The sequence below is a fragment of the Homo sapiens genome, chromosome 17, assembly GCF_000001405.40.
Source record: "Homo sapiens chromosome 17, GRCh38.p14 Primary Assembly".
Taxonomy (NCBI): domain Eukaryota; kingdom Metazoa; phylum Chordata; class Mammalia; order Primates; family Hominidae; genus Homo; species Homo sapiens.
In genome coordinates this window covers 3,444,162-3,460,562 of record NC_000017.11, presented here as the reverse complement: position 1 = coordinate 3,460,562, position 16,401 = coordinate 3,444,162, and the positions used below count along the sequence as shown (strand labels likewise).

The following is a 16,401-nucleotide window of genomic DNA, read 5'->3' as shown; positions in this document are numbered from 1 at the left end:
CTCACCTCAGCCTCCCAAAGTGCTGGGATTACAGGCATACACTATTGTGCTCGGTGAGATGAAGGCTTTAGAAGCTGAGAACTGAACACAACCTGGCAAACGGGTTCAGATAAATGCATAAATTTTAAGGGAAGATAAGGATATTATTTTTTTCTAAAATAACTTACTATTCTCATTATGAAAATAATAGAATAATTCTAGAAAAAAGGTAAAAAGAAAATTATTCATAGTTGCACTGATCCAGAGTTAATCATTAATTTATTTTTGAACAGAAAAAAGCCATTTCACCTTTTTTGAGTCTTATGTCTTTATCCATGGGAAAAAAATTGAACTAGATGATATCTAAGGTTCCTTCAGTGCTCAATATATATTGTGGATAAAACACACAGTTCTGATGTATTTATATAACTTTGTGCTGTCTTGTCTATCATTACCAAGAAAACCCTTGATTAAGGATTTTACAAATACATGAATTTATCTAACGTGCTTGTGTGTGGAATACTTAGAATGCCTATTGCTCTGATTCACCCAGAATTGTTTTCTTATAACACATCATGTCTTTCAACCATTCTTGTTACACAGATCTATTATAAAAGTTTAATAATATAAAATAGTATATAACTTAAGTCAGTAATTCATAAAAGGAGGTGGCAGGCCCCCAATATCCATATAACTAAATTTTTAAACTTTTAGATCTCCTTCAACTTGCTCAGGATGGCCAAAGATATGAGGAATATTTTCTTTTGGACTTTATTTGCCTCTGGAACACTCTCTTGACAGTCTCATCTTTGTTAACAGTTCTGACTGCAGTTGAATATTGTATTTCTATTGTTATCTTAAAAAAATTTTAATTAGGGCCAGATGCAGTGGCTCACACCTGTAATCCCGGCACTTTGGGAGGCGGAGGCGGGCGGATCACTTGAGGTCAGTAGTTTGAGACCAGCCTGGCCAACATGGGGAAACCCCGTCTCTACCAAATAAATACAAAAATTAGCCAGGCGTGGTGGCGCATGCCTGTAATCCCAGCTACTTGGGAGGCTGAGGCAGTAGAATCATTGGAACCTGGGAGGTGGAGGTTGCAGTGAGCTGAGATCCTGCCACTGCACTCCAGCCTGGGTGACAAAGTGAGATCTTGTTTCAAAAAAAGTATTTTTTAAAAAAAATTATATATATTTAAGGTGTACAACCTGATATTTTAATATGCATATACATAGTGACCTGATTTCAGTCAAGCTAATTAACATATCCATCTCTTCACATAATTACCATTTTTTTCTTGTAGTGAGAACACTTAAGATCTACCTTCTAAGTGATTTTCATCTGTATAACACAGTATTATTAACTATAGTCCTCATGCTCTACATTAGATCTCTAGAATTTACTCATTCTATGTAACTGAAAGTTTGTACCCTTTGACTGACATCACCTTATTTCTCCCACCTCTTCACCCCTGGTAACCACTATTCTACGCTCTGCTTCTATGAGTTTGATTTGTAAAGATCCCACACATTCTTTCTGTGTCTGACTTATTTCACTTAGCATAACATCCTCTAGGTTCATCCATGTTGTCAAAAATGGCAGGATTTACTTCTTTTTAATGTCTGAATAGTATTCCGTTATCTCTTTATGATACATTTGTTAGTCCATTTATCTGTCACTTGCATTGTTTACGTATCTTGGAATTTTTTTTTTTTTTTTTTTTTTTTTGTGAAGTTTCGCTCTTGTTGCCCAGGCAGTGGCAACAAGACAATGTGAGTGCAATGGTGTGGTCTTGGCTCACTGCAACCTCCACCTCCTGGGATCAAGTGATTCTCCTGCCTCAGCCTCTCGAGTAACTGGGATTATAGGCATGTGCCACTATGCCTGGCTAATTTCGTATTTTAGTAGAGATGGGGTTTCACCATGTTGGCCAGGCTGGTCTCCAACTCCTGACCTCATGTGATCCACCTGCCTCAGCCTCCCAAAGTGCTGGGATCACAGGTGTGAGCCACCGTGCCTGGCCCTCTTGGCTATTGTGAATAATACTGCAATGAATCTGGAAATGCAGATATCTCTTTGAGATACTAATTTCATTTCCTTTGGATATACATCCAGAAGTGGAATTGTTAGATTATATAGTAGTTCTGTTTTTAATTTTTTGAGGAACTTCCATACTGTTTTTCATAATGGCTGTATCAAGTTACATTTCCACCAAGAGTGTACAAGGATTGCCTTTTTTCTGCACCCTCGCCAACACTTGTTATCTTTTGAATTTTTGATGACAGCTATCCTAACAAGTGTGAATTGATAATATATCATTGTAGTTTTGATTTGCATTTTCCTGCTGATTAGTGATGTTGAGTACCTTTTTATATACCTGTTGGCCATCTGTGTGTCTTCTTTACAAAAATGTCTATTTAGGTTCTTTGCCCATCTTTAAATTGTGTTGTTTTTTGTTACTGAGTTCTGTGAATTCCTTAAATATTTTGGATATTAACTACTTAACAGTTACATAGTTTGCCAAAATTTTCTCCCATGCTATAGATTGCCTTTTCACTCTGTTGATTATTTCCTTTACTGTGCAGAAGCTCTTTAGTTTGATGTAGTTCTCAAATATTTCCTTTTGCTTTTGTTGACTGTGCTTTTGGTGTCATATTAAAAAAAGTCATTTGCAAGACCAGTGTCAAGGAGCTTGTTCTCTGCGTTTTTTCCTAAGAGTTTTATGGTTTCAGTTCTTACATTTAAGTCTTTAATCCATGTTGAGTTGATTTTTGTATATGGTGTAAGGTGAGAGTTCAGTTCCATTATTCTGCATCTGGATATCCAGTTTTTCCAACACTATTTATGGCAGAGACTTTTTTTCTCATTGTGTGTTCTTCTCACTTTTGTTGAAAATCAATTAAATGTAAATGCATGGGTTTATTTCTGGGCTCTCTATTCTGTTGATCTATGTGCCTGTTTTAATACCAGTACCATACTGTTTTGATTACTGTAGCTTTTAGGTATAACTTGAAATCAGGAAGTGTGATGGCTGCAGCTTTATTCTTTCTCAAGATTGTTTTGGCTATTCAGAGTCTTTTGTGGTTCCATATGAATTTTAGGATTGTTTTTTCTATTTCTGTGAAAAACATCATTGAAATTTTGATAGGGATTGCATTGAGTCTGTAGATCACTTTGGGTAGTTTGGACATTTAACAATATCAATTCTTGTACATTGATTTTGTATCCTGAGACTTTGCTGAAGTTGCTTATCAGCTTAAGGAGATTTTGGGCTGAGACAATGGGGTTTTCTAGATATACAATCATGTCGTCTGCAAACAGGGACAATTTGACTTCCTCTTTTCCTAATTGAATACCCTTTATTTCCTTCTCCTGCCTAATTGCCCTGGCCAGAACTTCCAACACTATGTTGAATAGGAGTGGTGAGAGAGGGCATCCCTGTCTTGTGCCCATTTTCAAAGGGAATGCTTCCAGTTTTTGCCCATTCAGTATGATATTGGCTGTGGGTTTGTCATAGATAGCCCTTACTATTTTGAGATACATCCCATCAATACCTAATTTATTGAGAGTTTTTAGCATGAAGGGTTGTTGAATTTTGTCAAGGGCCTTTTCTGCATCTATTGAGATAATCATGTGGTTTTTGTCTTTGGCTCTGTTTATATGCTGGATTACATTTATTGATTTGCGTATATTGAACCAGCCTTGCATCCCAGGGATGAAGCCCACTTGATCATGGTGGATAAGCTTTTTGATGTGCTGCTGGATTCGGTTTGCCAGTATTTTATTGAGGATTTTTGCATCAATGTTCATCAAGGATATTGGTCTAAAATTATCTTTTTTTGTTGTGTCTCTGCCCGGCTTTGGTATCGGGATGATGCTGGCCTCATAAAATGAGTTAGGGAGGAATCCCTCTTTTTCTATTGATTGGAATAGTTTCAGAAGGAATGGTACCAGCTCTTCCTTGTACCTCTGGTAGAATTCGGCTGTGAATCCATCTGGTCCTGGACTCTTTTTCATTGGTAAGCTATTGATTATTGCCTCAATTTCAGCTCCTGTTATTGGTCTATTCAGAGATTCAACTTCTTCCTGGTTTAGTCTTGGGAGAGTGTATGTGTTGAGGAATTTATCCATTTCTTCTAGATTTTCTAGTTTATTTGTGTAGAGATGTTTGTAGTATTCTCTGATGGTAGTTTGTATTTCTGTGGGATCGGTGGTGATATCCCCTTTATCATTTTTTATTGCGTCTATTTGAGTCTTCTCTCTTTTTTTCTTTATTAGTCTTGCTAGCGGTCTATCAATTTTGTTGATCCTTTCAGAAAACCAGCTCCTGGATTCATTAATTTTTTGAAGGGTTTTTTGTGTCTCTATTTCCTTCAGTTCTGCTCTGATTTTAGTTACTTCTTGCCTTCTGCTAGCTTTTGAATGTGTTCGCTTTTTCTTTTCTAGTTCTTTTAATTGTGAAGCATTCTTATACACCAATAACAGACAAACAGAGAGCCAAATCATGAGTGAATTCCCATTCACAATTGCTTCAAAGAGAATAAAATACTTAGGAATCCAACTTACAAGGGACGTGAAGGACCTCTTCAAGGAGAACTACAAATCACTGCTCAATGAAATAAAAGAGGATACAAACAAATGGAAGAACATTCCATGCTCATGGGTAGGAAGAATCAATATCGTGAAAATGGCCATACTGCCCAAGGTAATTTTAGATTCAATGCCATCCCCATCAAGCTACCAATGACTTTCTTCACAGAATTGGAAAAAACTACTTTAAAGTTCATATGGAACCAAAAAAGAGCCCGCATCGCCAAGTCAATCCTAAGCCAAAAGAACAAAGCTGGAGGCATCACGCTACCTGACTTCAAACTATACTACAAGGCTACAGTAACCAAAACAGCATGGTACTGGTACCAAAACAGAGATATAGATCAATGGAACAGAACAGAGCCCTCAGAAATAACGCCGCATATCTACAACTATCTGATCTTTGACAAACCTGAGAAAACCAAGCAATGGGGAAAGGATTCCCTATTTAATAAATGGTGCTGGGAAAACTGGCTAGCCATATGTAGAAAGCTGAAACTGGATCCCTTCCTTACACCTTATACAAAAATTAATTCAAGATGGATTAAAGACTTAAACATTAGACCTAAAACCATAAAAACCCTAGAAGAAAACCTAGGCATTACCATTCAGGACATAGGCATGGGCAAGGACTTCATGTCTAAAACACCAAAAGCAATGGCAACAAAAGACAAAATCGACAAATGGGATCTAATGAAACTAAAGAGCTTCTGCACAGCAAAAGAAACTACCATCAGAGTGAACAGGCAACCTACAAAATGGGAGAAAATTTTCGCAACCTGCTCATCTGACAAAGGGCTAATATCCAGAATCTACAATGAACTCCAACAAATTTACAAGAAAAAAAAACCCCATCAAAAAGTGGGCAAAGGATATGAACAGACACTTCTTAAAAGAAGACATTTATGCAGCCAAAAGACACATGAAAAAATGCTCATCATCACTGGCCATCAGAGAAATGCAAATCAAAACCACAATGAGATACCATCTCACACCAGTTAGAATGGCGATCATTAAAAAGTCAGGAAACAACAGGTGCTGGAGAGGATGTGGAGAAATAGGAACACTTTTACACTGTTGGTGGGACTGTAAACTAGTTCAACCATTGTGGAAGTCAGTGTGGCGATTCCTCAAGGATCTAGAACTGGAAGTACCATTTGACCCAGCCATCCCATTACTGGGTATATACCCAAAGGACTATAAATCATGCTGCTATAAAGACACATGCACACGCATGTTTATTGCGGCACTATTCACAATAGCAAAGACTTGGAACCAACCCAAATGTCCAACAATGATTGACTGGATTAAGAAAATGTGGCACATATACACCATGAAATACTATGCAGCCATAAAAAATGATGAGTTCATGTCCTTTGTAGGGACATGGATGAAATTGGAAATCATCATTCTCAGTAAACTATCGCAAGGACAAAAAACCAAACACCGCATGTTCTCACTCATAGATGGGAATTGAACAATGAGAACACATGGACACAGGAAGGGGAACATCACACTCTGGGGACTGTTGTGGGGTCGGGGGATGGGGGAGGGATAGCATTAGGAGATATACCTAATGCTAAAGATGAGTTAATGGGTGCAGCACACCAGCATGGCACATGTATACATATGTAACAAACCTGCACATTGTGCACATGTACCCTAAAACTTAAAGTATAATAATAATAATAAAAATAAATAAATAAATAAAACAAAAAACAATATCAATTCTTCAAATCCATGACACAGGATTTTTCATTTATTTTGTCTTCAGGTTTTTTTTTTTTAATCTGTTTTATATTTTTTAGTGTATAGACCTTTCTCTATCTTGGTCATTTATTCCTAAGTATTTTATTCTTTTTGGTGTTATTGTAAATGGGATCATTCTCTTGGTTTCCTTTTGGAATATCTATTGTTGGTGTAAAGAAATGCTCCTGATTTTTGTATGTTGATTTTGTATCCTGCAATTTTACTGAATTCATTTTTTAGTTCTAACAGTTTCTTAATGGAGTTTTTAGGGTTTTCTACATACAAGATCATGTCATCTGCAAACAGAGACATTTACTTCATCCTTTCCAATTTGCGCTCCTTTTATTTCCTTTTCTTGGCTAATTGATTGGCTAGGACTTCCAAGACTAGTTGAGTATTACTTGTCTGAAATATTTGGGATCAGAAATGTTTCAGATTTTTTTGTAGTTTGGAATATTTTCAGAATACCTACCAGTTGAGTATCCTAAATTTGAAAATTCAAAATCTGAAATGCTTCAGTGAGCATTTCCATTGAGCATCATGTTGTTGCTCAAAAAGTTTCAAATTTTGGAGCATTTCGAGTTTTGGATTTTCAGATTTAGAATGCCCAGCCTGTAACTATGTTTGAATAGAAGTGGTGAGAGTGGGCATCCTTGCGTCGTACTGGATCTTTGAAAAAAAACTTTCAGTTTTCCCCCATTATGATGTTAGCTGTGGGAATTTTGCAAATGACCTTTATTGTGTTGGAGTATGTTCCTTCTATACTTATTTTTTTTAGAGTAAACTGAATGGATGTTGAACTTTGTCAGATGCTTTTTCTGCATCTATTTTTGTCTTTAATTCTGCTACTGTGGTGTATAACATTGATTGATTTGCGTATGTTAAACCAACCTTGCATCCCAGAAATAAATCCCAGTTAATCATGGTGTATAATTTTGTTAAAAAATATTTCAACTTTCACTTTAAATATAAGCGGTACATGTGCAGATTTGTTTACATGGGAATATTGTGTGATGCTAAGGTTTGAAGTATGGATCCTGTCACCTCACCCATGAAGTGAACAGAGTACTCGACAGGTAATTTTTTTGATGTGCTGTTGAATTTGCCTTGCTAGTATTTATTGAGGATTTTTGCATGTATGTTCTTTAGTGATATTGGCCTGTAGTTTTCTAGCAGTGTCTTTGTTTGATTTTGATATCAGAGTGATGCTAGTCTCATAAAATGAATTTGGAAGTGGAATTCCCTCTTGTTTTATGAAAGAATTTCAGAAAGATTGGTATTAATTTGTCTTTGAATGTTTGATAGAATTCACTGTGAAGTCATCTGGTCCTGGGCTTTTCTTTGTTGAGAGGTTTTTGATTACTTCGTTAATCTCCTTATTATTGGTCTGTTTAGGCTTTCTGCCTCTTCTTGATTCAATCTTGGTAAGTTGCTTGTTTCTAGGTATTTATCCATTTCTTCTGTGTTATCCAATTTGTTGTCATATAATGTTCATAATAGTCCTTTATGATCTTTTTTATTTCTGAGAAATCCATTGTATGTCTCCTCTTTCATTTATTTAAATCTTCTTTTTTCTTTTTTTAGTCTATGTAAGGGGCTGTCGACTTTATCTTTTCAAAAAAATAAGCTCTTAGTTTTTCTTTTTTTTTCTTTTTGAGACGGAGTCTCACTCTGTTGCCAGGCTGGAGTGCAGTGGCACGATCTCGGCTCACTGCAACCTCCACTCTCGGGTTCAAGCAATTCTCCTGTCTCAGCCTCCCGAGTAGCTGGGACTACAGGCCTGCCCCACCATGCCCAGCTAATTTTTATATTTTTAGTAGAGACGGGGTTTCATCATGTTGGCCAGGATGGTCTCGATCTCTTGGCCTTGTGCTCCGCCTGCCTCGGCCTCCCAAAGTGCTGGGATTACAGGTATGAGCCACCTCGCCCGGTCCCAGTTTTGCTTTTTTTTTTTTTTAATTCTCTATTTTATTTATTTCTACTCTAGTCTTATTATTGCCTTTATATGCTTATTTTGGGCTTAGTTTGTTATTCTTTTTCTAATTTCTTTAAGTGTGAAGTTAGGATGCTTATTTGAGATCTTTTTATTTCCACTTGGGCATTCATTGCTATAAACTCCCCTTAGTACTGCTTTTGCTTTCCCATAAGTTTTGGTATGTTATGTTTTGTTTCTGTCTCAATAATTTTAAGATTTTCTTTTTTAATTCCCTCTTTGATCAATGATTGTTCAAGAGGGTGTTGTTGTATTTGTGAATTTTTTCATTTTCTTTTCTGGTTTTCTTTTTTTTTTTTTTAATTGAGACAGAGTCTCGCTCTGTCGCCCAGGCTGGAGTGCAGTGGTGCAATCTCGGCTCACTGCAATCTCCGCCTCCCAGGTTCAAGTGATTCTTCTGCCTCAGCCTCCCAAGTAGCTGGGACTACAGGTGCATGCCACCACACTCACCTAATTTTTGTATTTTTAGTAGAGACGGGGTTTCACCATGTTAGCCAGGACAGTTTCGATCTCTTGGCCTTGTGATCCGCCCACCTCGGCCTCCCAAAGTGCTGGGATTACAGACGTAAGCCACCATGCCTGGCGAATTTTTCCATTTTCTAGCTGTTATTGATTTCTAGTTTTATACCATTATGGTCAGAAAAGATACTTGGTGTGATTTTGATCTTCTTAAATTTGTTAAGTCTGTTTTTGTGACCTAACGTGAGTTATCCTTCAGAAAGTTCCATCTGTGCTTGAGAAGAATGTGTAGTCTTCTGCTGTTGGTTGGCAAATTCCATATATGTCTTTTGGGTCCATTTGATCCATAGTGTTGTTCAAGTTCACTGTTTATTGATTTTTCTGTCTGGATGATTTATCTATTATTAAAAGTGGAGTATTGAGCTTTCTTTTTTTTATTATGTTGCTGTCAATTTTTCCTTTTAGATTTGTCAATATTTGCTTTATATATTTAGGTGCTCTGATATTGGATGTATATATGTTCACAATTTTTATGTCTTCCTATTGAATTTACCCATTTATCATTATATAATGACTTTCTTTGTCTTTAGAAACAACTTTTAACTTAAAGTCTATTTTGTCTGACATAAACTTAGCCACCCCTGTTTTCTTTTGGTTGCTGTTTGCATGGAATATCTTTTTCCATCCCTTTATTCTCAGCTTTTATGTGTCTTTGAATCTAAACTGAGTTCATTGTAGACAGCATACAGTTGGATCTTTAATCCACTCAGCCTCTCCTCATATAGGCATACCTTATTATGTTGCACTTTGCTTTATTGCACTTCACAGATACTGCATTCTTTACAAGTCAAAGTTTCGTAGTAACCCTGCATTGAGCAAGTCGATTGGTGCCATTTTCCAACAGTATGTGCTCACTTCATGTTTCTATGTCACATTTTGGTACTTCTTGCAATATTTCAAACTTTTTCATTATTATTATATCTGTTATGATGATCTGTGATCAGTGATCTTTGGCATTACTACAAATGTGCTGAACAGAGAGTTGTAAAGCTGAAATAAATTTTTCTAGACTATGAATAATAAAAGTAATTTCTATAACCATGAGAGTGAGGAAAGACAAAATTGTGTTTCTGTTCTCTTTATTGAAAATAAAATTACAAAATTGTTGCGTGTGATGGTACGTACCTGTAGTGCCAGCTACTCTGGAGGTTGAGGCAGGAGAATCACTTGTGCCCATGGGTTTGAGACTGGCCTGAGTCCAAAAAAATTACAAAATTATTGTCGTATGAAGAAGTGATCAGTGTAGGAAAAAATTTCTATAAAGGAGTATCAGGCAGTTAATTTATAATAATTCTAACAATTTTTTTCTGGGTATCGTGATGTTTGTGGTGTTTATAACTTAAATTGTTGTAATTGTGCTTTCTTTTCTCGTTATTTTGTACTAACTTTGTACCCAATTAACAGTGTTCCCCAAATTATACAAGCTTCAGACCTCATAAAACTTGGATTTGTTCCTGGTCAGCAGTGTACCTAGACCTCTTTTTGGATTATTTACCTAAGTAGGGGATGGGTTGTATTGGTTGCCCTCTTGTGATACTTGTGGTATTTCCAGGAAAATTACTGAGAATTAAGAATTTGTGGGCTGGGAATGGTGGCTTATGCCTCTAGCCCCAGCACTTTGGGAGGCCAAGGAGGTGGATCACTTGAGCCCAGGAGTTTGTGGCCAGCTTGGGCAACGTGGTGAAACCCTGTCTCTACAAAAAATAACAAAAATTAGCTGGGCATAGTGGCACTCACCTGTAGTTCCAGCTACTCAGGAGGCTGAGGTGGGAGGATCGCTTGAGCCTGGGAGATTGATGCTAGAGTGAGCTGTGTTCTTGCCATTACATTCCAGCCTGGGTAACAGAACGAGACCCTGTCTCCAAGAGAAAAAAAAAAAATTCGTGACTTAGACTAGTTTTGTTTCCTGTGGAACTCCTAACTAGGCTGCTCAGAAATTATGCTTTTGATTTTGGCCTCATTAGCATCTAGCATAATGTTCTGGTCAGCTGATATAACACACTTAATGTTGCTGACAAATGCTGTACCAAATACATTATAGGGCTTTTAAGCTGTGCAGTAAAACCACAAAATTTCTAATCAAATATTAATAGCTATCTATCCTGCTTATATGTATTCTCCTTGTGATTTAAAATCATTGCTAAGCCACAGTTTAACTTCTTAAAATTTTACTTTGTAGAAAATTTTAAAATTGAATATATAAAGAAGCAAGTAAATGCCCTCAAAGTCTTACCACTTGGATACAACTACTATCATATGAAGAATGCTATCATTTAAAAATATACTTTGTAGTACTAGACTCTGAGTTGGGAGATCTTGTATTTCCTGGGTTCTAGACTTGTGAGTAATTTCCTGTATGACTTTGGACAAGTTAATTCCTCATTAGGGATCAGTCTTCTCATCTGGAAAGAGAGGTAGTACAACATTGTAGGGTTGTTGTGATGTATTTGGAATTTCTCAGTAGTTAGTTATAAAGTGCTTTCTAAGTCATAAATTGCCATATAAATGAATTTTTCATTATTAATTTTTTTTGTAATTAAGAAACCATATAGAAACAAATGCTTTTTTTTTGCACTATTACAGCTACAGAGATGGTAACAAAAATACCAGCTTGAAAACTTGGAATAAAAATGATTTTAAGCCTCAATGTAAACGAACAAACTTAGTGGCAAATGATGGAAAAAATTCTTGTCCAGTGAGTTCGGGAGCTCAACAACAAAAACAATTAAGAATACCTGAACCTCCTAACTTATCTCGCAACAAAGAAACCGAGCTACTCAGACAAACACATTCATCAAAAATATCTGGCTGCACAATGAGAGGGCTAGACAAAAACAGTGCACTACAGACACTTAAGCCCAATTTTCAACAAAATCAATATAAGAAACAAATGTTGGATGATATTCCAGAAGACAACACCCTGAAGGTAAATGTTTAAATACAAATTAATGACTTATTTACATTTTTAAAAATATGAGGTAAATATTTAGAAAACTACAGAGATAAGAGCGCCTGAAATAAATTCCATGACATACATTACTTGATTAGCATAAATATTCAGTTCCATTGAAGTGGATGAATGTTAGTTTCCAAAATATTTTCTTAGAGGGTATGAATGGCTGCTCCTTTTCCTTTCAAACTTTAGAGTTTTCTGCTGGATTCTGACTTTCACTTTACACTCATTTTAAAGATAAAGACAGTTTATCCATTGTTTATGAAGTTACCCAGGCTCTTGATATGTCATTCTAAGTATTTTTCAACAGAGGTCAGCAAACATTTTTCTTAAAGGGCCAGACAGTATTTTTGGCTTTATGGGCCGTACTGTCTCTGTTGCAGCTACTCAGCAATACTACTCAACTCTGCCACTGTAGCTTGGAAGCAGCCATAAGCAATACATAAATGAATGGACACTGCTCTCCTCCAACAAATGTTTACACAAATAGATAGCAGGTTAGATTTGCACTGCAGGCCATAGTTTTCTTTATGATCAACTTATTATGACCTTTGCTTTATGATCTTGTCCTAGTCTACCTTTGTAGCCTCATATTTCATAGTCTACTAATTGTCCAATGCTCTAGCCACTTCAGACTCGTCACAATTCTCTAAACATAGCATACACTCTGTGCTTTGGTTTATATTCTTCCCTATACCTGTATCTCAACTGTACTTCCTCTCTACGCTCAGTGCTCTGATTGCTCTTTGTAAATGTTATTTATATATTATGTGTGCTGGTTATTCCTCATCTCTGCTCCCTGGCCCCTTGGCCCACTTGATTCTTCACCTGCCCTTCTCTGTTGTGGAAGGCTGAACTGTCCTATGTAGTGCATCATCCTGAGATTGTTTACTTGCTGGCTTTTGCTAGAGGTCAGCCAGTAGGAGTCACTGGTACGACATCATAGGGTGGGAGGAAAGGTTGGGTTTTCTCACTTTCTCCTGTCTTAAATGTTACATCACCAGCAGTGGCTGTGTCACTGCATGATGTAGCCCCTTCATGAGTATAGCTTTCCTGGGCGTGATACTTTTATTTTCTCCTCTTGTCCTTTCAGCCTAGGAATGGTAACAACTTCTTACAGTTGTTAGTTTTTGTTCTGCCCTTATGTCTGAAAAAGCAATCTTTTCAAAAAGCCATCGGGGTAAAATTTGTTTTTGCATGTTTTGTTTTTTGTTGGAAATAAGATTAATAAAGCATGTTTCACAGTGGTTCTCAATCTTATGTTTCCTTGTACTCAAGAATTATATGACATAATCACCTTAGTAACAGTGGTTTACTGTGGCCATCATCAACAGGAGGCATGTTAGAATCTTCGTTAAGCGGGGGAAGAGGGAAGAAACTACCTGTATTTTGAAAAAAGGTCCCATCATATGTTCTTCACAACCCTCACCCTCACAAAGGAAAGCGTCCCCTTGCCTTTGAAAATTAGTATTTTAACACACTGTATTCTTAGTTGATCTTCAAAAATGCTAAGAACATTTCCATCTCAGGGCTTTTATACTTGCTGTTCCCACTGTCCTCATTCAACAACCCACTTAAAATAATAACCCCCATCTCTCTCTCTTTCCATTTACCTTGTGTGTTTTTTTCCTAAAAAAAAAGTACATTTCCTGACATTCTGTTATATGTTTACTTATTTTTTAAATCCTCCACTAGACAATAAAATCTTCGAGGACAGATATCTTGACTGTTTTGTCCATGAATTTTTCCTAAATAGCTATGTTTGGCATGTAGTAGGTGCTCAGTAAACACTTTTGAAACGAATGAATGAATGAATGTGTCTGGCTCCTTCCCTAGAGTCCCCTAGAGTGTGAGTGCACTAGGGAAAGGAATGGCCTTACCTATATTTGTCACAGGATCTGGCATATGATGCTTTAAAATAGTCAATGAATGAATGAGTGAATGAATACCTATATAAATAATTCTCCTCTTGATTGTCTCTAAGTGCACCCTGGTTTCTCCATCTGTAATATAGTATTGATGGCCTTATTTTAGGGAAGTAACTATACTAAAATTTTCAGTAGTTCTTTTTACACACTTGTCCATTGTAAGGACTTAGAATTTTTACGTAGAAGGTAAACGAGTATGATGAAAAAAACAAATATTTTTCTAATACTATGTTTCTTATTTTTTCAAAAGGAAACCTCATTGTATCAGTTACAGTTTAAGGAAAAAGCTAGTTCTTTAAGAATTATTTCTGCAGTTATTGAAAGCATGAAGTATTGGCGTGAACATGCACAGAAAACTGTACTTCTTTTTGAAGTATTAGGTAGGTAAAATACTTTAAAAATACTTCAGTAATACTCTCTGGAGGACAGGTTTTAATGTCTGATTAGTCCTTTTTCTTCCAAATAAAACAGTCTGCTTTTTGCTACTCCCTAAAGTGTATTCAAAGAACTGGTTTTAATAATAGTCCCTGTGGTAGATAGAATAATGCTCCCTAAAAATGTCTACATTCTAATTACCAGAATAATGCACCCTAAAATGCCTACATTCTAATTACCAAAACCTGTGAATGCTACCTTATATGGCAAAAGAGACTTTGCAGATGTAATTAAGTTAGGGATCTTGAAATGGGAAGATTATCTTGTATTATTTGGGTGGGTTCAATGTAATCACAAGGGTCCCTTATACAAGGAAAGCATTGAAAGATGCTACCTTGCTGGCTTTGAAGATGGAGGAAGGGGCCATGAGCCAAAGAATGCAGGCATCTTTGAGAAGTTGGAAAAATTAAGGAAATAGATTTTACTCTAGAGCCTCCAAAAGGAACATGGCTTTGATGACTCATTATAGACTTCTGACCTCCGTAACTATTAAGATAATGCTTTTGTGTTGTTTTAAGCCAACCACTAAGTTTGTGGTAATTTGTAAGCAGCAATGGGAAACTGATACAGCCTCCTCCTTTTCCTTTTGTCCTGTTATATATATATATGTAAATATAAATGTGTGTATATATAGATGTAGATTTCTATCAGTGCAGTCATTTCACATGTTTAACTTTCACCTAAAAATGATTCCAGTTTCTCTCTTGTTACCATTAAGGAAAAAGCTTTATTATATAAAGTGACATTGGATTCAATAGAGACTCAGACTTTGAGTAAAGCACGCTGTATTCATTTTCAATTGCTGCGTAACAAAGTAATGGAAACTTAGCAGCTAAAAACCACACCCACTTCTTAACTCAAGTTTTGTAGATCAGAAGTCCATGTGGGCTTGACTGCGTTCTATACTCAGGGTATCACAGTGCTAAAATCAAGGTGTTGGCTGGGCTGGTTTTGTTCAGTTTTCGTTTTTGGCTTTTTGGAGGTTTCCATGCCTCTGGCCTCTGGAACTCCCATATACTTCAGGGATTCTTTATCAAGTCCTACTCATGTTGCTTGAAGCATATCTCTTAGCTGGTTGGCATGACTGTTACTACTCTGTTGAAGCTTGACTTAGCTCTTATTTTGTTCAGTTCTTACCAGTAGCCACGTAACTGCAATAGCAGATGGTATTCTATTTCATGTCAGTTTTCTGTCAGAGCTAGAATACTGTCAGAGGTAGAACATCTTATTTCAAAGATCTTAACCCCTGTTGGACTTCCCACTAAATTGCTTTTTCCTGTGTGAAAGATGCCTTTGGCTCTCACCTCATTTACAGAATATAAATATTAAAATAACCTGAGCCTATTAAAAGGACATGCTGATTCCATTCATTTCCCCAGGTTCTCTTTGGTGAGTTGTTCAGGTTCACTCCAGAATAATCCTTTTAAGAATATCACAATACTCATTATAAACACCAATAGACATTCTTATCAAGAAATGAAGGGGGTCCATGCTTTTATATGTGATGGTTAGCTTTCATAGTGCTATAATAATCCTGAGTTCCTAGGCTAGACTCTAAACTTATCAAAGGTAGATACTTCATTTTACTACACTTTAGTGTCTAGCACACTGCACTGTATATAGGAAGTATCTTCCAGTTGCAAGCACCCCCCAGAAAAAAACAACTTTAGTGGATTTTAAATACTCATTTATATTGCTATGTATAATATTGTGTTGCATAGAGAATTATTCACGCAACTGAAAAGTGGCTAGGTTTCTGACTTCAGGCAAAGCTTGATCTAGCTGCTCAAGAGATGGCACAGTGATTTCTCTCCATCCTTCTGGCCAGTCATAACGTTGGCTTCATCTTAAGGCTCCACACTATAGTCTCTCCAGAAGCTTCTGACTCTCTCCTTATGGTAGCAAGTTGATTATTAAATTTTTGTAGACTATACATTCTTATACCACACCGTCATATTCTTAGATTTTTCTTCTGATTGCTCTTTCCTACAAACTAACAAATGAGTCTTTGCATATAACCATTTCTGACTTGGTAACATGCCTATTGCAGAAACCCTGAACTACGTAGTTGAGTAATAAAATATGCTGATTGGATTAAGTCAGTCACAGTTCACTCGTGGATCTGGGGATGGGGACAAATCCTATCCAAATAATATGGCTAAAAATGGAATTTTCCTGAAGGATAATCTGGGTCTTTTTAGCAGAAATGGAGGCCAGCCTCAAAATAACAAATGCCCACTACCAGTACTCAGTAG

At 36.6% G+C, this 16,401-nt stretch overlaps 1 protein-coding gene across 8 annotated transcripts in view; it reads left to right on the top strand.

Annotated features, from left to right (window-relative positions):
- SPATA22 (spermatogenesis associated 22) overlaps nt 1–16,401 on the top strand; it is a 73,840-nt gene that overhangs the window by 53,296 nt on the left and 4,143 nt on the right. For all 8 annotated transcript variants that reach the window (NM_001321336.2, NM_001321337.2, NM_001170696.2 and 5 more), the window contains 2 exons: nt 11,414–11,756; nt 13,962–14,091. In NM_001321336.2, the coding sequence (NP_001308265.1) occupies nt 11,414–11,756; nt 13,962–14,091 (473 nt within the window). The remainder of the gene's footprint in view (nt 1–11,413; nt 11,757–13,961; nt 14,092–16,401) is intronic.